Genomic DNA, 25,723 nt, shown 5'->3' on the forward strand with positions numbered 1-25,723 from the left:
AATTTCTCTCACTTTCTTACAGGGCTACCACATAAAGAATATGACATTATTAAATTCCCCTGCAGTTACACAGAGCAGTGGCTCTACAGTTTCTTGTTGGCTGAATTAAGCATTTAAAGAAATGTTTAAGTATTTAATACAACATCTTCAGGTATTTGAACTAAGAGAGTTTCTTGGGAAATGTGCTATTTGATAGATTGAGAAGTCTCCCAGTGCTGTTTTGCTTTGTTTCATCACTCACTATTTAAATGTTAATTACAAAAATAATACATACTCACTGGAAGAAAAATCAAACAAACTCAAAGCACAGAAAAATTTTAAAGCCTCCTTGCTCTTGGTGGCTTTCTTTCTCCCACCAATTTTTGGTGACTTCAATTTTTGTGTTAGACCATTTATGTTCAAAGCATCCACATGAAACTTACCCTCTATAAGGTGCTGTGAGCACCACAGACTTGAATACCAGTTCCCATGCTCAAGAAGCCTTCAATCTTGTTGAGGAGATAGATGAAAGAACTGGCTTACAACAGAGAAGTAGATGTATTAAAGAGTCAGTTTTCCCAGCACTCTGGGAGGCTGAGGCAGGTGGATCACCTGAGGTCTGGAGTTCGAGACCAGCCTGACCAACATGGAGAAACCCCATCTCTACTAAAAATACAAAATTAGCCGGGCATGGTGGCACACACCTGTAATCCCAGCTACTCGGGAGGCTGAGGCAGGAAAATTACTTGAACCCAGGAAGCAGAAGTTACAGTGAGCCAAGATCGCGTCTTTGCACCCCAGCCTGGGCAACAAGAGTGAAACTTCGTCTCAAAAAAAAAAAAAAAAGAGTCAGTTTAGGAGTCCAACAACAAATGCTAATAAAGATGATGATAAAACAAAGAACTTTGTGTGCTGAGAGTTATGTAAGGAAGAAATTAAGAAGGGGATAGTAGTGAAAAAATCTGAAGACAGCCACATAGAGGATGTGGAGAAGGCAGAGGTACATCACAAAGACAAATTCAAGCGAAATGCTGAAGGGACAAGTTTATTAAGCAAAGTGGTGCCTCCCTCCCCAGAATGAAGGCTTAGTTTCTGCAGTACTCAGGATAGCTGGTCAGAGTCAGAGGTCATTTTCCATTCGTCATTATTTGCCATTTGAAAAAAGTAATCAGACTTTGAATGTAGCTTAAGAGAGCTATGACTATCCAATTTCCTAGGCCAATCTCGGTTAATATGCTAATCAGTTTATCAGATGCAAAAGGCTTGAGCACCTCTCCTGTCACTATAAGAGTGTGGAAAAATGAGCTACTAGAGACAAGAGGTCAGACAAGTCCTAGGGGTCACATTTGAACTTTTATTCAAACACTGGCATCTCCAGTGTGTGACCTCATCCCAATCTCCAACCTTCTATTTTCTGGGCCTTCAGCCAGTGGGGCTATACACTCATTTCCATGGCCTTAGATTTTAAAGGGTCAAGGTGCGGTATCTGAATCATCCATGATTACATCATTAATAATAAAAACAGCACCGTCCACTCAGCCTCCAACGTTCTCTGAAAAACAATTCATGTCCAAGGTATCAATTTATTCCTTTGTTTTTCATGTATTCATTCAATAATTATTTCCTGAGCACCCACCCAATACTAGGTCCTATGCTATATATTAGAGAGACAGCAGAATAAAGATAGAAAAGAGATCTTATCCCCTAAGTACTATCTAATAAGGGAGATTAACAGTAAACAGGTAACCAACCAAATATATAACTGCAAATTGAGATGAATGCTATGAAGATCAACAGGATTTTTTTTTCATTTAAAAGATCTGAGAGGGATTTTGGAAATATCCAGATGAATTCATATCAATATGAATATATGCTCAGTTGCAAGTAATGGAATCATGATTAACATTGATCTTAAAAAACAAAGACATTTCATTACCTCTCATAAGAAAAATCTGGAAGTAGATGGTTCCAAAATCACGAAAGTGGCTAAACTACATCATAAATAACCCAGTTTCCTCCTCCTGTCTTTCGCCTCTATTATCCTCCTCAGCATGTTGGCTTTTTGTTCTTGTGCTTCTCACCTCACTGGTCCAAGATAGCTGCTGCAGCTCCAAGACAGCTGCAGTCAAGGCAGGAAGAAGTGGGTAGGGTCTCCTTACTATGTTATTATAAGAACAAAATCCTTCCCAGAGGCTTCCAAGCAAACATCTCTTTATGTCTCATTGGTCAGAACTGGGCCACATGGCCATCTCTAAACTAATACACATCCATAGAGAATGGGATTTCCATGTTTGCTTTAGACCATTCATAGCGCATTTCCTAGAACTGGGGAAGGGAATCTTCTGCCTAAACATGTTGCTGCCCTCACATTATCGAGGTTCCTTAGTAGATGAAAAAGGGGGAGGCCAGGCACAGTGATGCATACCTGTAATCCCAGCCACTCAGAAAGCTGGGGCAAGAAGACTGCTTGAGCCCAGGAGTTCAAGCTGTAGTATGCTATGATCACACCTGTGAAGAGCCCCTGCACTCCAGCCTGGGCAACACAGTGAGACCCTGTCTCTAAAAAAAAACCTTAAAAACCAGAAAAATGGGGAATGATTGTCTAGTAGACAACAATAGTAGAAATTAAAATCCACAGGACTTGTTCACTAAGTTAATGAGAAAGTGAAGAAGGAAGTAGACTCAAATATCACTCAAAAGTTTCAAGCTTGGAGAACTACAATAGTCACAATGCCAAGAACAGATAAAAAGAGAATGTGGGAGGAAAAATCTAGTTTGTGAAACAATAATGAGTTCCACTTTCTTGAGTTTGAGGTGCGATGAGACAGTGTGGTAGAAACGTAGAAGACCACAGGAGAAAGGCTGGACTTAAATGTAGACACTAGAGTCATCCACAGTGAGGTTGGATTCGAAACCACAGGAATAGATAGTACCATTATGGGAGAAAATGAAAAGAGAGAAGGAGGACAAGGCTGGAGGAATCTTTGTGAATAGCTACAATTATTAACAGAAGATAGTAAGATGATGATGTTGCCAAAAAAGGAAAAGGGGAGTGAGTGATTAATTACAATCATCCCCAAACCAAGGGACTATAATGACATGGCAGCCAAGAGGTAAAGTTCCCTAAGGAAAGTGGCAGCCAACAGTTTGACTGCCACAAAGATGCCAATGATGACAAAGTACTCTTGAAAAATTTCAGGGATAGTACTCTTGAAAAATTTCAGGGACAGAAACCAGATTGTAGGAATAGTAGTTTCAAGTACATTAATTTAATGCCCATGTGCACTCATTTGTATTCCTTTCTGTCTACTCTTTTTTTTTTCCCCCCTGACAGGGCCTCACTCTGTCACCTAGGCTGGAGTGCAATGGTGTGATCATGGCTCACTGCAGCCTTGACTTTCCAAGTTCAAGCAATCCTCCCACTTCAGCCTCTCGAGTAGCATAGCTGGGACCACAGGCACATGCTACCATGCCCAGCTAATTTTTGTATTTTTTGTAGAGACAGGGTTTCACCATGTTGCCCAGGTTGGTCTTGAACCCTGGCTCAAGCAATCCACCTGCCGTGGCCTCCCAAAGTGCTGGAATTATGGGCGTAAGCCATTGCACCCAGGTTCAAAGAGTTAAAATTAATTGGTAAACCCTCAGCAGGAAGAGCACAACTAAGGAAATTAAGAGAGCCAACAAAGCATGAGGTGAGAGGGGACAAGGTTGGGGGAGGGGGATACGTTCATTTTATAAAGGGATATATATAACCCAAAATCTGCCAAGGAGGTTCCAAGGATGATGCCAAGGATAAAGGGGGAAGAACAGAAACCTGTTCTGGGGATCCATTGTAAAAGTACATAATCTCACCATGACTAATGGCACATGTACATCCTTTTTTGTACTAGGTTCAGTTCCATGACATCCTGCAAACTGTGGAAAGTTCAAAAGTACTGCAAACATGAATGCTTATAAGCCCATGTAATTGCATAGTAATTCATACATGTGCAGATGAGAACATGGGTTATTAAAGAAGGATACAGGACTCCAAAGGTGACTGAGGCAGGGGCATGAGAACAGCAAAGTCAGTGTTACATGGGGCAGGCATACTAGTTACTTGATAGTTTAACTCCTGACGGTTACGAGGTAAAGGAGATATATAGGGAGCTAAGAGGAAAACAAAAGCAGGCGGCTAGTTTGCTAAGAACCAAAACCAGATTACAGAAGGCTGCCTGGCCTCTGAAATTCACAAAGCCTTTTCGAGACTCCCCTTATACAGAAACACAAATGACTTGTCTGGAACTCCAGAGACTCCTGGTAGGTCAGACTGCAGACAGACACACACAAGTGCCATTATGAGATTAAATCAGGTCACAGAAAGGCCAATGAAAGTATTTACTTGAAGAAGGAGAAAGCAGGTTTGAGATAAAAGAAAAACCATTAAAAGACGAAGCTGCTAAAAGCATCAGCACCCCTACCCCTGCATATCTTTTTATGTAAGAGCTTGACCTGCCTTATATGTGGGCAAAAACAGGAAAATGAACGTGTGTGACCCATATATAAGTGTGAATAGTATTTAAATAAACTTTATTTCAGTGGTCATGTAACATTTAGTAGTCATGTCAATTACATTTACATGTACTCTCTCTTCTCGATCTTGGAATAATTGCTTCATGTTTAACACCAGGAAATAGATCTCTTCATCCACACAAATGTATATCAAAACCTTATTAAGCAATTAACCCAAGCAGGCAAATAAATGCCCTCAATGAAGCAGCAGGATTAGCAACAAGAGACCGGACATGGTGGCTCATGCCTATAAGCCCAGCACTTTGGGAAGCCAACATGGACAGATTGCTTGAGTCCGGGAGACTGGCCTGGACAACATGGTGAAACCTTGCCTCTACAAAAATTATAAAAATTAGCCAGATGTGGTGCCGCGTACCTGTAGTCCCAGCTACAGAGATGGCTGAGGTGGAAGGATCACCTGAGCCCAGGAGGCAGAGGTTGCAGTGAGCCAAGATCGGGCCACTGTACTCCAGCCTGAGTGAAAAGAATGAGACCCTGACTCAAAAAAAAAAAAAAAAAAAAGGGTAGCACCAAGAGATACATGGTAGAATATAAGCGACTTAACAGAAGAGAAAATGAGGAAGATAAAGGTTTTTATTGCAGAAAGAAAAGAAATAAGAATTACTATAGCAGAAACTCATAGTATAAAGGACACATCCTGATGAGGGGGATGATATTGATACCATCTTGTCACTGACAGGTGCTTTACAACCGTTTTCACAGGTCATTGTATATTATTTGATACTCACTCAATTTTATGAAATGCAGAGAACACCTATTATTGTTCCCTGTTAACGTAAGAAAAAGGTGAGGCTTAGAAAGGTTGTCCATGGGCACACAGATAGGAAATAGTAGAAACTAAACTTGAAACTAGATTGACTGTAGGTCCAGTGGTCTGCCTAATCCTCCTAAATACCCAAACATCTGGACTGACTGAGCAGTATTCATGCCCATCAGCAGAAAACTAGAAAGAATATCTTCTAGATACTATCCCCAGTGCTAGGACTCCATGATTCCAGAGTGCTCACTATCATCTGAACACCCTCTTGATAAAGAGCAAGCTCATCCCATCACTGTGTTGTGTATTTGTGCACATGTGTGGCAGGTGTATACACACCTGTATACTAGAAGCGGTTACAGAGGTGCAGAGCCAATACTTAAGACATGAAGAGTAAATGATGAATATCAGACTAGAGTACTGAAACCTACCTCTCCATGTAGAAATATCCTTACCTTGCATCAAGTTCCTCTTTGCAGAAAACATTGACATTTCCATGGTGTTTGGGAGCCTGCTGTTGGCTTCCAAAAGCTCTGGCGCCATACCATGCTGTCACGGTAACAGCCCTCCAGTGAGCCATCAAAAACCTAGCTAGAACATTTTGAATACAGCAGTTTGCTTGCCACCAAAACACTAAATTGCAATATTTTATATTTATCTCTATTTAAATTTTAGTTGATGCTGCATAAATGTTAACATGGTCTTAAGCTAATACAATCACAGAAAAGTCTTAATAACACCACACATTGGCACAGCCCCTGGGTGAGTTACGGGTCTGCAAAGCAGGCCCAACGCATGTTTCTCAAGTCACTTAATTAGTCCCCTTTAACTAGGATGTGACATGAAAATGCTACACAGTTTCCCCCAAGTAATGTATTTCCAGAAGCAACGGCAAGGGACGTATAGGATAATTTGTTCATATTAAAGGTAGAATAAAAGTACTCGGGAGTAAGGCAAAGATTTCCAAAAAGGGTCTGGAGAGAGGTTAATAATGTTGGATTTAGTTCTTTTCTGGCCTGAGAAGTAAAAAGTGAGCTTTAGTAAGTTCTCAAGCCTCTAAAGCCTTATAAGGCTAAGACCCTGGATTTCCTGGACTTCCTCATGACTGAAACCGCAGATACTAACGTCAAACATGCAGATTTTCCATCTTTCCAGTGGCTGCACAGGAGGAGATTTCCCTGGGCTTCCTGGGAGACTTTGGTTCTGGGAGGTGAGACCAAGGGAGGTGGAGTTGCCCTTGAGGCCAGAGCCTTGACTGTCAACACCACCAACACAGGGAGCCAGGGCTTGAAGATCCAGGCAGAGTGGTGATAACGGAAACAAAGGCCGGCAGTGCCTCTCCTCATGGAACAACTCCTCCAGCTTTCCCAGCTCTGCCCTTCAACTTACTAAGAAAATATGCTGAATGCCTTTCAGAGTGAGAGAGCATCAGACTGAGATTCTGATTTAAAAAACAAGCACAGATAAAGCACAAAGGAAATCTTCTCGAAACAAAGCCTATAATGGTAAATATGTTCAGAATAGCTTTTCTCCTGTAACATCGTGACCTGCATCTAAGCATCTAATAGCCTCCACCCATGCCCTTGCAGCAAGAATCAGAATATTTGTTCCTGTTTTAAAGGCACAAATGGTCCTAAGAGCAGATTTTCAAAAATGGGAGGAACAATAGCTCCAATGGACCAATTGCAGCATGCAGATATCTTGACCTTTGCAGGTGGTGTAGAATGATGTGGTGCCTACATATCTTTTGGCATCTACTCTTTCGAGATGCTACCTCCCCACTCCTCTTGCCTTATCAGTCTTCCATCACAAGCCAGACTAACTGAAATTCTCAACAATTTCCAACCTAGAGAGGGCGATAATCTGACGGCATGTACATTGGTTCCAGACAACTAGGGCAAGACACATTCCTCCCTGAAAGCACCCCCTTGGTCAGGCTCATCATTTATTCGTCACTAGATGTAGCTTTACTGCCAAAAGACCTACTCTTGTTTATTCCCCTCCCTCTCTACTATTTATAGTTGGTCTAACTTTTTACAAGCTTTGAATAAAACAGAGAATGTGACCTAAGATGTGTTATTAAATGTCCATACACATAAGATGGGGGAACAGAGAGTCACAGATGGTGACAACATGGGTAAAAATTCCTATCTACTTGGAATAAGGGCAGAATCAAATTTTACTCTAGTTTCATTGAGATGACACTGAAATGTCAGTAGCAACAGGCACATTCAAGTGTACCCTTCTTCCAAGCAGATCAGGCCAAGCAATTCTGGCCATTGGGACGTCCATTATACTGCTCACCTGGAAAAGGCAGCGCCCAGCACAAACGCAGCATACTCCTTCACGAGGGGCTCTGTGCTGTTCAGCCCATTGATCACCACTTGAAGACCACCAAAGGAAAGCAGGTCCTGCGCATTGTCCATCTGCAACAGAGCCACTGCTTAGTACAGCATAGCCATCAGGGACAGGAAAGCTGTTCTTAGAGCCTTTCTTTTGGTGACTACCCAAAAACAAATTAAAAAGCCATGGAAAAATCAATAATGGCCTTTTTGACTAAGAAAAGGTTTGTAAAAACCAATTTTTTAATACTCTTAAATTTGAGAACTCCTAATTCATCTAACACGATTGATGAGCACCTGCGTGGGAATCAGCAGAAATGACACCTAGCTATTGCTTATGCCAAACATGTCCTGGAAAATTCTAATATCATAATGAGTCACAAAGCTTGCTCCTAATGTACAAGCTGTTAACACAAAGAATCTGGCGTCATCAGCACCACTAAATGGTGCCATGCTTCCTGCTGATGTCCAATCCCAATGGGGACAGTGGAGGCAGATTTTTAAAGCTGATTTTAAATTAGAAGCTAGGGACTATAAAAGGAGCCCTGTTATTGGGAGGGGGGTTGCCGTAAGAGTGCTGGGGAGGGGGGAATAACAATAGTACCTTTCTCTTGCATCTCAGGTTGACTGCATCTGAAGACATTCATGATAAAATATGCAAGAAAATCGCTCTCCCAAAGGTTTCTGTCTAAGCCTGTGCTACTGGCTAGTGGCTATGTATCAGACAGTGCAGAACATTTCTATCATTACATAAAGTTCTATTCAACAGCATTGGTCTAGGCTATCATTTAAGCTCCAAATCCCCAAGTCCGGATTCTCTCTTTTACTCTATAGCGGATCTCATTACCCACAGTTTATTAGTACCCTGGAACAAGACAACTCGCTTTCCTCAGAAAGGTCACTGGATCCTGTTTTCTACATGTACCCGCTACAGTCTCCCTCGAATATATCTTTGTTGCCACAAAGGCTGCATCTTGCCCATATGCTAATCCCACGCTATCAATCATGAGGAAAACTCAGGAAGCTGAAGCCCAACAACTGTGGCTGCTACCCATCTTTCTCCTCCAGATTCCACAGGGCCCCTTCCCAACTGCATCCTTGCCTCTCTGAACTAGGAGAGGACTCTGACAGAGAAATCAAGTGTGAGGATTGGTATTTGACTGTGCTAGTGTTTTGTGGTGGCCTAGCCTGTTGTTGCCACTTGAAAAATCATATTCATACACATTTGGATGGAATCTCCATGACAGCAGGGGTTTTGTCTGTCTGTCCACGCTTGTAGCTCCAGGGACTAGGATGGTGCTGAGCATATGGTTAGGTGTTCAATGAATAACTGTTGCATTAATGAGTATGAATTTGATCAGAAAAGAATGTTCCTGAAATAAAGCTCCAGTGTGAATAAAAAGGCAATCTGGGGTATCTGTGCCAACAAAATGAATGGGCCTCTGGTACCGCAGACATGAAGTAATGGCTAAACCAGGTTGTGAAGTAAGCATGAAGTCTGCTCTGCCATGTGGCCCCAGGCCATGGACATTTTTCTGCCCCAAACTGTTCTTATGAAGAGGAATAACTGGTTGAGCCACAGCCCAGCTAACTAGGGAGACTCAGGGTTGGGTGCTTTGCTGACATAAGCACCTTCCTTCCTTCCCTACATGCTCTAATTTTACAATGTAAGAATTCACTACCTATTCTTTGGTTGTCCTTCCTCTGGGTTTTCTGGATACAAAACTATGGCTCAGAATCCTGTCATACCACGCCTGGAATGGCCACTTATAAAGCTGGTATGAGTTCCTAGCAGAGCAGCTGCCACTCGGTCAGCTCCAAAGCAACACAGCCCAGAATCATGGACCTTCTGTTCTAGAGTCAGTTTATCTACTATTACTACAATGATAATTCAGCATGATAGAAATGCAGACATTTATATAAGCACTTCAGCCTTTTTGGGATGTTTTCTCATGGTTTACTTCACTAACAGTGAGGAAGAAACGATTCATTCTGCCCAGTGCACATCAAAAGCTGGGCCCCCCCCTGGTGACATACAGGAGAAACCATGACCATAGCCCAGGTCCACAGCTCCCCATCTCGGTCTGGGGCCAAAACTGTTCTCAGGCTGCCTTCGGGGTGGGGTGGGACAGGCAGAGAGGAAGAGGAGGAGGGAGTGCAGGAGGGAACTATGCCAACACCCTGGAGGAAAGGAAAGAAGCAGGGCACTGATAAGACAATGAGAGAATGGGAAACAGCGAAGGGGAAAAATGGTGGCACACAGCTGAGGAGACACGTGGGAGAAGGCAAATGTACTGCCCGAGGTAGATGGGGCGGACGGAGGCCGCTCCTCATAAATAACTCACCATCTGTTTCCACACACAAGGTTTTGCTTTTCACATATCCTGTTTAATAATTCAAATATGGCTGTGAGGAAGCCTGGCAGACCTGGTTTGGGTCCTTGGAGCCTACAGCTCCTCAAACCACCATTCAGTGAGTCTGGAATGAGAAAGGACTGGGGAAGTTCCTGGCTAGGAAAGTGCCATCTTCCTTAAAACTAGTACTACATCACCCCAAGCCCCCATCACAACTGGGACTCGGGCCGAGTTGTGTCTTACTTAATCCCCCAGTGAAATCACAGCTTAACATTGCTGCATGGCAGCCTGATGCACCAGCCCTTCCAGTCAAAACACCAATGATCCAGAACATTTCTCTGCCAACAGACAAATTTGGCTTCTGCCAGGGACTGATTTTGGGATGACCTCAGGATGGGTCTGGTGAGGTGGCCTGTGAAAGCAGAATGGGGATGTCACCTTAGGGAAGACACTGCCAAGTGACAAAGAGCCTACAAGGGAAAACAAAGAACTTTGTTGGGGCAATGCTAGCCCAAGCCTCCTGTGGACTCACACCCTTCCAGGTATGATAAGCTCTCCAGTCATTTTGGTGTTTCATGTGCAAGAGCCCATGGTGACCTGATACCTAAAGATTCATCCAAATATGTTAAGATGAGAAAAAATAGAAGCTGTCAACATCAAAGGAGGACTGAGTTGGCAAATAACCCCTTATATCCTTAATCCTTTAAATATCTCTAATGGAAAAGCTGTTGGAGTTCTTGGTTTTTACCCTGGAGAGTAAGACTGGAAAGGGGAAAGAGAACCGAGGTTCATTTTTTTTCTCTAAGAGGATCAGAGTCCTGCTATTTGAGGCCTGAGAAAGAGTTATGAGCAGAGAAAGAAGATGAAGAGGCTGCCCCATAATTCCTATGGATACAGTGCATACTCATCCTCTTTCACCACAGATGCTGGCAAAATCCTAAAGGAAGAAAGCATGTCTTTTAGCCCAGTTTACAGAGAACAAGGGCACTGTCGTGCATGGTGCATGGGAGGACATTGAGGATCTGTGTCTTGACAAGGATCTCAAACAAGCCTTTGATTATGATTACACAGCCTCCTGGGCCACTGTTGCCCCTAGTCTGGATTACTGCAATAGCCTCCTATCTGGTCTCTGCTTCTACCAAGCCCCCCACCTGCAGTCTAATTCTCAACACAGTAGCTGGAGGAATCCTTTTAAAAGTAAGTCAGATCACATCATTCTTCTGCTCAATATCCTTCAATAATATGCAAGTTCACTCTTTTCCATGGCCTACAGGCCCTCTATATTCTTCCTCCCATTATCTCTCTGAGCTGTATGTACTTCTTCTCTGCCTGCTCTCAGCTCCAGCTGATTCAAACACACTAGGCATGTTCCCACCACCGGGCTTCCACACTTGCTCTTCCTCCAGCCAGAGATGCCCCTTCTCAATGCTGCCAGTTCCTATCTCGCCATAGTTTCTATTTTTCTACAGTATTTATTACCTACAAACATATTACATATAATTACTTCTTTCTTATGCTTGTCTATCTGCTTCTGCTAGAAGGTTAAGCCCTAATTTTGTTCATAGACGTATCTCAAGTGCCTGGAACAGTGCCTGGGAGTTAGTAGACACTTGATTTATTTATTGAATAAATCAATGGCTTTTATTGGCTCCTTGTTAGCTCCACCTTTTGAGCTTAATTCAAAAGGTACCAGTTGCCTTTGAGAAACAGAGTGGCCAAAAGTTTTAGAGCACAGAGTTTAGGGTCAGACAGACCTTGCTGCAAATTCCAGCTCTACCACTCACTAGGCTGGATGATCTTGAGCAATTACATAATCTCTCTGTGCCTCATTTTCCTCGGTTATAAAATGGGATTAATAGTGGTACCTACTCATAGGGCAGCCACGGAAGTCAATGAATTAATGCATACAGAGCACTTGAAGCAGTGCCTGGTATATGACAACACTCAACAAATATTAGTTATTATAAGTCTGATCAGTTACTTCCCTGCTTCAAACTCTCTAGTGGTTCTTAGGATCAAGGCTAAAATCATAAAGAGCATGATATCTCCAACCTCACCTCTCCAGCCCCCGAACCTTCCCACTTCATCTATGCTCCCCTCCAGGCCGCTGTGCTCCAGTCACTCCAATCTTTTCCAGGCCCTCAATCTCCCCAAGCTTGTCCCTGCCCTAGAATCTCTGCACATGTTGTTTCCTCTAGCTGGAATGCTCTAATCTAAGGATTGGCAAACTTTTTCTAAAGGGCCTGGTAGTAAATATTTTTGACTTTGTGAGCCATATGGTCTCTGTCACAACTACTCAATTCTGCCATTGTGGCATAAAAACAGCAATAAACAATGCATGAACAAATAGGGGTTGCTGTGCCCCAATAAAATTTTATTTAGGAAAGGAGGTGTTGGGCCAGATTTGACCTATGGGCAGTAGTTTGCCATCCCCTGCTCTAGTCCCCCCTCTTCACCCAGCCAACCCCAATCATCCTATAACGCTTGGCCTAAATGTCACATCCTCTGAGAAGCCTCCCTTATTGTCCATGACTAGGCTCTAAGTTCTCCAGTTACATATTCTTACATCACCCTCTGGAGCCCTCATTACAATCTTAAATTATCTCATTATTTAATTAATTTGTTCAATTGTTCATTATTCAATTACTTCCTCTTCCAGGCTATAAGCTGCATAACTAGGACTATGTCTATTTTATCTCTGTGGTACCCTCAGAGGTACTAAAGAAGGTACCACTCCACATGAAAAAGAGGTTGGCTGGCCAGGCATGGTGGCTCAAGCCTGTAATCCCAGCACTTTGGGAGGACAAGGTGGGTGGATCACTTGAGGTTAGGAGTTCAAGACCAGCCTGGCCAACATAGTGAAACCCTATCTCTATCAAAAATACAAAAAATTAGCTGGGCGTGGTGGTGCACACCTGTAATCCCTGTTGCTCGGAAGGCTGAGGCAGGAGAATAGCTTGAACCCAGGAGGTGGAGGTTGCAGTGAGCCGAGATCGCGCCACTGCACTCCAGGCTGGGTGACCGAGTGAGACTCTGACTCAGACAAAAAAAGAAAAAGAAGTTGGCTCTGGCCTCTAAGACTGTATCTTACTACAAAAGATAACAAGACTAGATTAAAAATAGTCTGTGCTCTGGGAGAGAAGTAAAGATGTTGATGCTATTTTCTTAGGGCTTAGGGAAGGGGGATTTATTTTTGGAGCTGTTAAAAGTCTGACTTATGGACGAAGAAATACAGTACCTGATGGACATAATATTCAAGATCAAAGAGCGCAGCAATCTTCTCTTCCAAACTGGAGCTGGAACTATTGAACTTGTTGATCAGCCGTACCATGATCTGCATGTCAGTCTCAATGACAACATTCAGCTCATCAAAGTCTTTCTTCAGTTCCTCAATGGGGCGGAAGAGCCGCTTTACCTCAGCCTGCCTTGCCTAAGGAGAGCAGCAAAGAGGTGATTAAATTGGTTGGAGACATCTGCCCAAGATGTCTGTGGTCTACCATGGATGCCCATCCTCAAAAAACTGCTGCTCCAAGACTCACAGTCTTCTCTCATCTATGCTATCAAAAATACTAATACTTTCTAAGATGCCCAGAGAAGACAGCCCTCAAAGTCTGCCTATATAGGCCTCAGCTCTAAAAACACACTCAAGATGTTCCAAGATTCGCTTATTCAAGTCCGATTTCCAATATTCAGGAAGAATAGAAAGGCTTTTTGTCACAACCACTGAGTTAAGGGGAAGTAATGCAAGTTCATCTTCAACCTCAAACCACATATGAAACAGCTGAGACCTAAGGTAGAATAACCCACACCCTACTTCTCCACTTCTCACAATCATAGACTATCTTGGCCTTGCCCTACCCAATCCAACAACATTTTAGGGAAACTTGGACATAGAAAACTATGGGTAAGAGCTGTCACAGCAGGAGCAATTTGCTGATGAAAATTAAATCACTGTCATTACTGTCAATCTAACCACAGGTGTACAATTTGTTCAACTGTTTGAAATGGCTAAATTACTATATGTACTATACTCAAATCTCGAACAATTTTCTCTGAATCCTTCCCCACTCCACTCACATATAAAAACTTTAAAAATGAAGTTACATTAGAGGTGAATAAAAGACTTTAATTAAATATTTTATACATGTGACACTGTTTTCTTCCCAATTTGAGAAGATAGTGCCTATAAAGAGAGTCTGAAAAGTCACAGTGGCTTATGTATCTGTCTTCCAAGAAAAACTAAAAGGCACAGATATTTATAAAAAGCCGGATGATGAACAGCTGTCAGCTCCAAATTGCTCATCTATTACCTATGGGTTTTTCTCCCCAGTTACAAGCACTCCATAGAAACACCAACCAAAGAAATGAATCAGCCTCTCTTAAAAAAGACCAAGCTCCTAGCGGAGCAATCACATCCATGGGGCGCCACATCCTGATTCTCTGGGCTAAAATAATATGAGATACTCTCCCTGCACCCAGCTAGAGGTCTCTGGATGGCTGCCAAAGCCAAGCAAAGAGGTCTGGGAAGGCTGAGTCACTTTCTAGAACTGTGAGATGATAGGCAAGTGAGCACAATAAGAAACTAGTGACATCTGTCTCACAAAAACGATGTGTGCCTGGCTCTCAAGAAGGCCTCAAAAAAAAAAAAAGGTTTTGGCCGGGCACAGTGGCTCACACCTGTAATCCCAGCACTTTGGTAGGCCGAGGCAGGCAGATCACGAGGTCAGGAGTTCAAGACCAGCCTGACCAATATGGTGAAACCCCATCTCTACTAAAAATACAAAAATTAGCCGGGCATGGTGGCTCACACCTGTAGTCCCAGCTACTCGGGAGGCTGAGGCAGGAGAATCGCTTGAACCCAGAAGGCAGAGGTTGCAGTGAGCGGAGATCGTGCCACTGCACTCCAGCCTAAGCGACAGAGCGAGACTCCATCACAAAACAAAACAAAACAAAACAAAACAAAACAAAACAAAACAAAACAAAACTTTTACTTTGAAATAATTATAAATTCCCAAGAAATAACAAAAAATAGTACAGAGAGTGTCATGTACCCTTCATCCAGCTTCCCTCAATGTTAACATTTTACATAAGGATATTACATAAGGATACAATGTCAAAATCAAGAAAAGGACACAGGTACCATACTGTTAACTAGACTAAACACCTTGTTTGGATTTCACCAGTTTTTACATATACTCACTTACATGTATGTGTGTATGTGTATCATTCTATGTAATTTTACCTGAGATGTAGACTTGTGTAACTACCAGAACAATCATGCTAGAGAACTGTCCCACCATGATCACATAATCTACTATGTACTACTCCTTTACAGTTATACTTTATCCTCCCATGCTACTCTCTTACATCCCTGTGCCCTGGTTGTCACTAATTTATTCTCCATGTTTATAATTCTGGCATTTAAAAAATGTTATATACACAGTGGTTCATGCCTGTAATCCTAGAAGTTTGGGAGGCCAAGGCAGGTGGACAACTTGAGCTCAGGAGTTCCAGACCAGTCTGGGCAATATAGTGAGACTCTCTGTATTTATATTTTTTAAATTCTATTTTTTTAAACAGAGAACTGGCCAGCAAAGATGAAAGCGCAGCAAATAAATGAAAGGTGGTAACTTTGGCAATGAAATTTGAATTGAATGTACATGGAGTTATAGAAGAAATGGCTGACTGTGGGAATGTTAACACTGCCACTGTTGATGAGCTCTAGATGTGCAGACAGAGGGACTCAGCAAAGGCAAACTTACAGACACAAATTAGGAAAGTGATAAAAAGGATGAAATGACACTGGCAAAAAACTTCACATTACAGGAACTCTCTGAGAAATTTCACAACATTGAAAGTACGAAGGGTGAAATGTTGGAGGCTCATCCATACTTAGAAAGATGTATGATAATTAGCCAAGAGAGAAAAGATGCTTGCTCTATGTCATAATTTTTTTGGAGTCAGGGTCTCGCTCTATTGCTCACGTTGAAGTGCAGTGGTACAATCACAGCTCGCTGCAGTCTCACCCTCCTGGACTCAAGTGATCCTTCCACCCCAGCGTGAGTAGTTAGGACTACAGGCACAAGTCACCACGCCTGGCTAAAATTTTTAGTTTTTTGTAGACATGGGGTTTCGCCATGTTGCCCAGGCTGGTCTTGAACTCCTGGCTCAAGCGATCCACCCACCTCAGCCTCCCAAAGTGCTGAGATTACAGATGTGGGCCACCATACCCAGCCAAGTTTTTAGTTTTCTGTAAAAACTAAAAATTTTAGCCAGGCATGGTGATGTGTGCCCATAGTCCTAACTACTCAGGCTGAGGTGGGAGGATCACTTGAGTCCAGGAGGGTGAGACTGCAGTGAGCTGTGATCGTACCACTTCAACCTGAGCAATAGAGTGAGACTCTGACTCCAAAAAAATTGTGACACAGAGCAAGCATCTTTTCTCTCTTGGCTAATTATCATACTTCTTTCTAACGAGATTAGGTTATAATTAGATTATAATCTCAGCACTTTGGGAAGCTGAGGTGGGTGGATCGCTTGAGCCAGGAGTTCGAGAACAGCCTAGGCAACATGGCAAAACCCTGTGTCTACAAAAAACACAAAAATTATTTGAATTTTTTGGCCAGGCGCAGTGGCTCACGCCTGTAATCTCAGCACTTTGGAAGGTCAAGGCAGGTGGATCACCTGAGGCCAGGAGTTCAAAACCAGCCTGGCCAACTAGAGAAGGTGAAATTAGAGAGAAGATGAAACCCCTTCTCTGCTAAAAATACAAAAATGACCAGGCATGGTGACACATGCCTGTAACTTGGGAGGCTGGGGCAGGAGAATCACTTGAACCTGGGAGGTGGAGGCTGCAGTGAGCCAAGATCATACCACTGTACTCCCGTGTGGGCGACAGAGCAAGACTCTGTCTCAAAAAAAAAAATGTATTTTTTGGTGTGGCATGGTGGCACACACCTGTAGTCCCAGCTACCCGGGAGGCTGAGGTGGGAGGATCACTTGAGCTGTAATCCTGCCACTGCACTCCAGCCTGGGTGACAGAGACCCTGTCAAAAAAAAAAAAGCAAGAAAGAAAAAAAAAAGAATTCTTTTTTTTGGGGGGTAGAAAAAAACTATTTTTTGTAGAAAACATAGACCATTTCCGGGCTATGTTGCCCAGGCTAGTCTCAAACTCCTAGAATCAAGCGATCCTCCCAAAGTGCTAGGATTGCAGGTGTGAGCCATTGTGCCCGGCATAATTCTAAATGTTTCTAATGTTTTAAATTACAGTGTGCTAAATAAATATTACTATTGCTTTTTCATTTCTATATATACTTATAACCAATAGCAATGTAGTTGCTTTAATGTCTGGCAAAACATTTCAAGGATCATGGAACAATCATAATTTTTCCCTTGATTATGTTAAGATTGTTTTGCATAGTTTCAGTGTGCACATTTTCACAATTCCACATAACATAAAATGAGGACTGCTGGTATATGATATGCAAATATTTCCTTCCAGTAGTTTATCTTCTGATCATCTTAACAGGGTATTTGACAAAACAAAACTTTTTAATTTTGGTGAAGTCCAATTTATCAATTTTTTTCTTTTATAAATCTTACATTTGGTGCCATGTCATAAGAACTCTTTACCTGGTCCTAGTTCCCAAAGATGTTCTATGTTTCATTCTAGAAGATTTTTTTTTTCTTTTTAGTTTCACATTTTACATTTAAATCTATGATCTATTTTGAATTAATTTTTTTTAAGGTATGAGGTTTAAGTGACAGCTCATTTTTTGCTTATGGATGCCCACTATTTGCTGAAAAGACTATTTGTCTTCCATTGAACTACTTTTGCACCTGTCAAAAATCAGTCAGTTGTATTAGTGTGGGTCTATTTCTAGGTTCTCTACTCTGTTCCATTGATCTATGATTCTTTCTCTCCACCAATACCACATTGTCTTGATTACTATAGCTACAGAGTAAGCCTTAAAATCAGGTGGTGTGTTTTCTTCCACTTATTCTTCTTTTTAAAATTCTAGCTATTCTAGTTCCTTCAACTTTCCATACAAACTTTAGAATAAGCTCATCTACAAAAAAATCCTGCTGAAATTTTGATAGGAATTGCACTAAACTTATACATTCAGAGAGAGTTAACATTTTTACTATGTTGAATGTTTCAATCCATGGACACAGTGTGTCACTCCATTTAATTAAGTCTTCTTTGATTTAACTCCATCATCATCTTTCACCCAACTTTTATACTTTTGAGCATATAGATCTTATATCTGTCTTGTTAGATTTATTCCTAAATATTTCATTTTTAGGGGAGCAACTGTAAATGGTACATATGTTTTTAATTTCAATTTCCAAATATTCTTTGTTAGTATATAGAAATACAATTGATTTGCATTGTCTGTATATCTTGTGACATTGCTGAACTCACTTATTAATTCTAGAAGACTTTTTTTTGGAGGCTCTTTGGGAGTTATACATGGACAACTGTGTCATCTGGAAAATGAGATAGTTTTATTTTTTCCTTGCCTTGCCTTACTGCATTGGCTATGACTGTGTTGAATGAGTGGTAAGAGTGAACATCCTTGGCTTGTTTCTGACCTCAGTGGCAAAGTATTCAGTCTTTCACTGTTAAGTATAATATTCCATGCAGACTTTTTGTAAATGCTTGTTATCAAGTAAGGTTTCTATTCCTAGATTTCTGAGTTATCATGAATGGGTACTGAATATGGTCAAATGCTCTTTGTGTATTAACTGACATAAGATGATGTGATTTTTCTTCTTTAGCCTACTGATATGTTGGGTTATACTGATTATTTTTTGTACACTGAACCAGCCTTGCATTCTGGTAATAAACTCCATGTGATTATATATAATGCATAATTCTTTTTACATATTGCTGGATTTGATTGGCTAAATTTTGGTGAGGATTTTTGTTTCCATGTTCGTGAGGAATGTTGCTATGTAGTTTATTTTGTACTCTGTCTGGTTCAGGTATTAGTGTGACACTGGCCTCATAAAGTAAGTTGGGAAGTGTTCCTCCCTCTTACATTTTCTGGAACAAACTGTGTAGAATTGACGCCAGTGGTTTTTAAATGTTTGGTTAATATCTCCAGTGAAACTATCTGAACCTGGAGACTTCCTTTATAGAAGGTTTTTCACTACAAATTCAAGTTTTTTTAATGGTTATAGGACTACTCGTATTATTTCATATTGGGTAAATTTGGATAATATGTGCTTATAAAACAGCTGGACTATTTCATGAAAGTTATCAAATTTATATGCATAGAGTTGTTCATAGTATTCTCTTACTGTATTTTCCTTTTAATTTCTGCAGGATCTGTAATGATATTCCTGGTTTCATTCTTGATACAGGTAATTTTTATCTTAGTGCTTTATGTGTTTGTCAGTCTTGTGGATTTTTTGTTTTTGTTTTTGTTTTGTTTTTTGTTTTTGAAACAGAGTCTCGTTCTGTTGCTCAGACTGGAGTGCAGTGGTGCAATCTTGGCTCACTGCAGCCTCTGTTTCCTGGGCTCAAGTGATTCTCCTGCCTCAGTCTCCCGAGTAGCTCGGACTACAAGCGTGCGCCACCATGCCTGGCTCATTTTTTTTACTTTTAGTAGAGAAGGGGTTTCACCATATTAGCCAGACTGGTCTCGAACTCCTGACCTCAGGTGATCTGCCCACCTCAGCCTCCCAAAGTGCTGGGATTATAGGCGTGAGCCACCGTGCCCAGCCATGTTTGTCAGTCTTGATAGAAGTTTATCACCTTTTGGTTTCACTGATTTTTCTCTACTGTTTTCATGTTTTCAATTTCATTGATTTCTGCTCTTTATTTCCTTCCTTCTGCTTGCTTTGAGCTTGTTTCGATCATCTTTTCCTAGTTTCTTGAAGTAGGACCTTCCATTATAGGTATGAGACCTTACTTCTTCTCTAATATAAGCAAATTTCCCTTCCAGCTTTAGTTGGATCCTGCAAATTTTGATAAAGTGCATTTTCATTTTTAATCAGTTCAATGTATCTTTTTTTTTTAACCTCCCCTGAGATTTCCTCTTTGACTTGACTGGAGATTTTCTTCCTATCTATGACTGGTTTCTAGTTTGATTCCATTATAATGAGAGAACATACTCTGCCTAATTTCAGTTCTTTTAAAACTGTTGAGATCTGTTTGATTACTCAGGATATACTCTATTTTGAGGAGTGTTTCATGGACACTTAAAAAGAATGTATATTCTGCTGTTGTAGAATGGAATGTTCCATAAATGTCAATTAAATTTTTCTGGTTGAAGGTGTTATTCAGCTCTTTAATACCCTTACTGATCCGCTGTCTAGTAGTTCTAGCAATTCTGAGAAAGGGATGTTGAAATCCCCAACTGTAATTGCGGATTTGTCTGTTTCTTTCTTTTAGTTCTGTTAGTTTTTGCTTCAGGTATTTTTATATACAAATAAAAGTGGTACATACACATTTAGAATTACTGTATATTTTAATGGACTGGCCCTTTTATCATTATGTAAATTGCTCTTGTTCCTAATAATTTCCTTTAATCTAAAGTCAACTTTGATATTAATATAGTAACTCCTGCTTTTTAATTAATATCTGTATGATATGCTTTCCATTCTTTTACTTTCAACCTACTGTCTTTATCATTATATTTGAATTTCTTGTAGAAAGCATATTTTTGAAATTCATTTAAAATTCATTATGAAAATCTGTTTAATTGGTATATTTAGACCAATTATAAAACATTTTACAATTATTATACATTTATGTTTTAAGGTAATATTTTTATATGTTAGAGCTTAAATACACCATTTTATTTATTTTTTTTGTTTCCTCCAGTTTTTGTTCCTGTTTCCCATTTCTCACCTTCCTGTGACAAACCAAGGTACATTTTATATAATTCCTTTTTGGATTACCTATGCTTTTGAGTGTAACTGTTTGTATAGTTTTTAATAATGATTGTTCTAAGTATTATAATATACATAAGTAACATCATAATCTACTGGTATCAATGTTTTATCACTTTGAGTGAAATGTAGAAACCTTACCTCCAATTATGTTTAATCCTTTCTTCCTCCTAATTGTCTTCAAAATTCCTCACTATACATTCAGAAACAGATCTTGTCATAATTTTTGCTTCAACTATCAAACAATTTTAAAAACTCAAAAACATATGCATGTGTGTCTTTATAACAGAACAATTTCTATTCCTTTAGGTATATACCCAGTAATGGGATTGCTGGGTCAAATGCTATTTCTGTCTTTAGGTCTTTGAGGAATTGCCACACTGTTTTCCACAATGTGGAATTAATTTACACTCCCACCAACAGTGTATAAGCATTCCTTTTTCTCTACAACCCTTGCCAGCATCTATTATTTTTTGACTTTTTAACAATAGCCATTATAGTTGGTGTGAGATGGTATCTCACTGTGGTTTTGATTTGCTTTTCTCTAATGATCAGTGATGTTGAGCTTTTTTTCATATGATTGTTGCCCACATGTATGTCTTCTTTTGAAAAGTGTCTATGTCCTTTGCCCACTTTTCTTTTAGTTGTCAAATGAACCTTTATTGAAATATTTTCCTTTGTGCTTAACTAGCTGGGCATTCCACTGCACCACTGTTGATGTCATCTATGATGTCATGAGGTGACGGCCATCAACACTGCAGCCCACAAACTGAGCAGTCCCCAGGATCTCTTTAATGGTTCTAGAGAGTTCTCTGGCTAAAGATTGGTGCCGCATCTGTCAAGTAATGTTGACAATCTCATCACAAGTGATATTTCCACTGTGTTTGATGTTTTTCCATTTCTTTCTGTCCCTTGGCAGTTCCTTGAGGGCTTTGACGATCAGGGCAGAGGCAGAAGGCACTGCCTCAATCAGGGCCTGTCTGTTCTGAATGGCCAGTTTCACTGTAATCCTCAGACCCCTCCAGTCACCGGCTGCCTTGGCAATGTCATCACCAACCTTTTTCGGAGACAGACCCAGGGGGCCAATCTTGGGGGCCAGTGCCAGATACCAGCAATGATACCTGTGCCAGCACAGACATGGCGCCCATTTCACCCTCCGTGCATCTCAGGTATACAACTTTTTTTTTTTTTTTTTTTTTTTTTGAGATGGACTCCTGCTCAGTCGCCAGGCTGGAGTGCAGCGGCGTGATCTTGGCTCACTGCAAGCTCCGCCTCCCAGGTTCACGCCATTCTCCTGCCTCAGCCTCCTGAGTAGCTGGGACTACAGGCGCCAACCGCCACGCCCGGCTAATTTTTTTTGTATTTTTAGTAGAGACGGGGTTTCACCATGTTAGCCAGAATGGTCTCTATCTTCTGACCCGTGATCCACCCGCCTTGGCCTCCCAAAGTGCTGGGATTACAGGCGAGAGCCACCACGCCCGGCCAGGCATACAACTTTGATGTCGCTGGGGTCAAACTTCAGCAGTTTGCCCAGTTTGTAATGGGGTTGTTTTTTTCTTGTAAATTTGTTCAAGTTTCTTACAGATGCTGGATATCAGACCTTTGTTGGATGCATAGTTTGCAAAAATTTTCTCCCATTCTGTAGGTTGTTTATTGATAGTTTCTTTTGCTGTGCAAAAGCTCTTTAGTTTAATTAGATCCCATTTGTTAATTTTTGCTTTTGTTGCAATTGGTTTTGGCATCTTCGTCATGAAATCTTTGCCCATGCCTATGTCCTGAATGGTATTGCCTAAGTTGTCTTCCAGGGTTTTCATAGTTTTAGGTTAAGTCTTTAATCCATCTTGAGTTCATTTTTGTATATGGTATAAGGAAAGGGTCCAGTTTCAATATTCCGTGTATGGCTAGCCAGTTATCCCAGCAACATTTATTGAATAGGGAATCCTTTCCCCATTGCTTGTTTTTGTCAGATTTGTCAAAATAGCAAACACATGGAATCAACCTAAATGCCCATCAAAGATAGACTGGGCAAAGACCATGGAATACTACGCAGCCATAAAAAAGAATGAGATCTATCCCTTCAAGAAACATGGATGGAGCTGGAGGCCATTATTCTTAACAAACTAATGCAGGAACAGAAAACCAAATACCACATGTTCTCTCTTATAAGTGGGAGTTAAATGATGATAACACACGGATACTTAGAGGGGAACAACACACACTGGGGCCTATTGGGTGGAGGATGGGAATAGGGAGGGGATCAGGAAAAATAACTGTTGGGTACTTGGGCTTAATACCTGGGTGATGAAATAATCTATACAACAAACCCCTATGACACAAGTTTATCTATATAACAAACCTGAACATGTACCCCTGAACTTAAAAGTTAAAAATTAGAAAATAAATAATAAAAACTCAAGAAGAAAAGGATAGGCTGCATTTTCCCTATTTTTTATTCATTACATTGTTCTTTCTTTATTCCTGATATTTCAAGTTTCTTTCTATTATTCTTTTTTCATTCTATTTGGAGAATATCCTTTAGTCATTCTTTCAGAGTAGGTCTGCTGGTGAGAAATTTTCTTAATTTTCCTCTCTCTAAAAGTGTCTTGACTTCCCTTTCACTCCTGAAATATATTCACGGCTATAAAATTCTGTGTGGACAGTTCATTTTTTCCCCCAGCAATTGAAAAATATTCCACATACTTCTGGCCTCTATGGTTTCAGATAAAAAATTCAATATCGCTCAATCATTGTTCCCCTATAGTTGTGTTATTTTTTCTAGTTGCTTTGAAGATTTTTCTGTCTTTAGTTTTCAGAAGTTTAACTGTGATGTATCTTGGTGTTGATTTCTTTGAGTTTATCCTGTCTGGAGTTCACCTGGATTCACTGGATTCACTTTATGAATCTGTGAGTTTATGCCTTTCACCACATTTGGGAATTTGTTAGCCCTTGTTTCTTGATTATTTTCTAGCCCCATATTCTTTCTACTCTCCATCTGGAATTCCAATGACACAAATGTTAGATCTTTTGTTACAGTTCCACAGGTCCCTAAAGCTCTGTTATTTTTTTTCTCCAATCTATCTTCTCTTTGTTGTTCAGACTGTGTAATTTTTATTTATCTGTCTTTAAGTTTACTGATTCTTTTCTCTGTCATCTCTGTTCTGCTACTGAGCCTATCTGGTGACTTTTAAAGTTTTAGTTATTATATTGTTCAGTTCTATAATTCCATTTGGTTCTTTTTTCTTATCTTCTGTTTCCTTGCTGAGACTTTGCTTCAAGGGTGCTCATAATTGCTTGCTGAAGCAATTTTATAATAGTTGTTTTAAAATTCTTGTTAGATGATTTCAACTTCTGAGTCATTTCAGTATTAGCATCTGTCTCAGTCTTCTCAGGCTGCTATAACAAAATATCATATACTGGGCAGCTTAAACAACATACATTTATTTCTCACAATTCTGGATGCTGGGGAAGTCCAAGATCAAGGAATGAGTCGACGTGGTTCCTGGTGAGGGTCCCCTTTCTGGCTTACAGATAATCACCTTCTAGCTGTGTCTTCACACGGTAGAGAGAGAGAGTACTGGTCTCTCTTATTCTTCTAAGGACATTAATCCCTCTTGAGCCTAACCCTCATGACCTCACCTAAATCTAATTACCTTCCAAAGGTCCCACCTCCAAACATCACATTGCAGGGTTAGGGCTTCAACTTATAAATTTGGGGGAGACACAAACATTCAATCCATAACAGCATCTGTTGATTGTCTAATTCAAGTTGTGATTGTCCTGGTTCTTGGTATGAAAAGTAATTTTTAATTATATCCTAGACATTTTGGGTATTAAGTTATGAAATTCCAGATCCTACTTCATCTTTTTCAGTAGGTAGACATCCTATTTAGGCTTAGTATACTGGTTCTGGCTTACTTGTGTGGGTTGTGGCTCCAACAACAATTTAGTTTTCAGAGCATTGTAGTGCTATTCTGGTCTGCTTCCTTTGTGTGCTACCCAGAGGCCAATCTAAAAACCTGGGCAGCATTCCACACTATAGTTCAGTTCCTAAACTTTTTGTTGTATTAATTCTGGTCAGTTTCTTGTATGGGTCACTGAACGGGTATGTCTAGGACTTCATATGCAAAATCCCTTTCTCTAGCTCTCCTCTCTCCCAAATCGTACCCCTACTCTCTAGTTGAGAAGGGAAACAACTTCACCTGCCACCACTGGATGCTGGCCACTGGGAGTGGAAGTCTAGGTTCCTCCCTGGGCCTCTACTGACACCACTTTGGCGGGAGAATCGAGCACTGTTTCACTGCTGCTGGCCTGAGGGTGGAAGTTCATACTTCTCACTTATTCCACTGGCCCCGCCCCAGAGAGGGAAGCAGAATGCTGCCTCACACTGTCTCACTGCCTCCAAGTTGGGGGTGGAAGTACAGACTCTTCATTCACCCCAACAGACACCATGTTATCAGGGAAAAGTAAAAAACCATGTTGGTGCTACCAGGCAGAGGACAGATATTCAAGTTCCCTGCTTAGCCTCTGCTGACACCACTCCAGCAGGATAAACAGCCTGCTACTGTCAGATGGGAGATGGAAAATCAGGGTGCACACTTGGTCTGTTGGTAATACACCAGCAGGGGAAGCAGAGAGTATCCATTGGGCAGAGGATGAAAAGTCAAGCTCTCTGCTCAGCTCCCACTGACACCATCTTGGTGGAGGAAGCAGAACACTGCCTTCTACCACTTTTTACTGCCTTCTACCACTTTTTGCTGCCAGGAGCAGACGTGAGTTCAGGCCGTCCACTTGGCTCCTGGCGACCCTGGTGGAGGAAT

General features: G+C 41.0%; 1 protein-coding gene and 1 pseudogene across 5 annotated transcripts in view; both read right to left on the reverse strand.

Moving 5' to 3' along the window:
- SIL1 (SIL1 nucleotide exchange factor) overlaps positions 1-25,723 on the reverse strand; it is a 251,645-nt gene that overhangs the window by 66,835 nt on the left and 159,087 nt on the right. For all 5 annotated transcript variants that reach the window (NM_022464.5, NM_001037633.2, XM_011543570.3 and 2 more), the window contains 2 exons: positions 13,243-13,434; positions 7,613-7,734 (listed from right to left, as the gene is read on the reverse strand). In NM_022464.5, coding sequence (NP_071909.1) covers positions 7,613-7,734; positions 13,243-13,434 — 314 coding nt within the window. The remainder of the gene's footprint in view (positions 1-7,612; positions 7,735-13,242; positions 13,435-25,723) is intronic.
- On the reverse strand, positions 21,549-22,087 carry RPL12P21 (ribosomal protein L12 pseudogene 21; annotated as a pseudogene).

Source organism: Homo sapiens, chromosome 5, assembly GCF_000001405.40.
Source record: "Homo sapiens chromosome 5, GRCh38.p14 Primary Assembly".
NCBI lineage: Eukaryota > Metazoa > Chordata > Mammalia > Primates > Hominidae > Homo > Homo sapiens.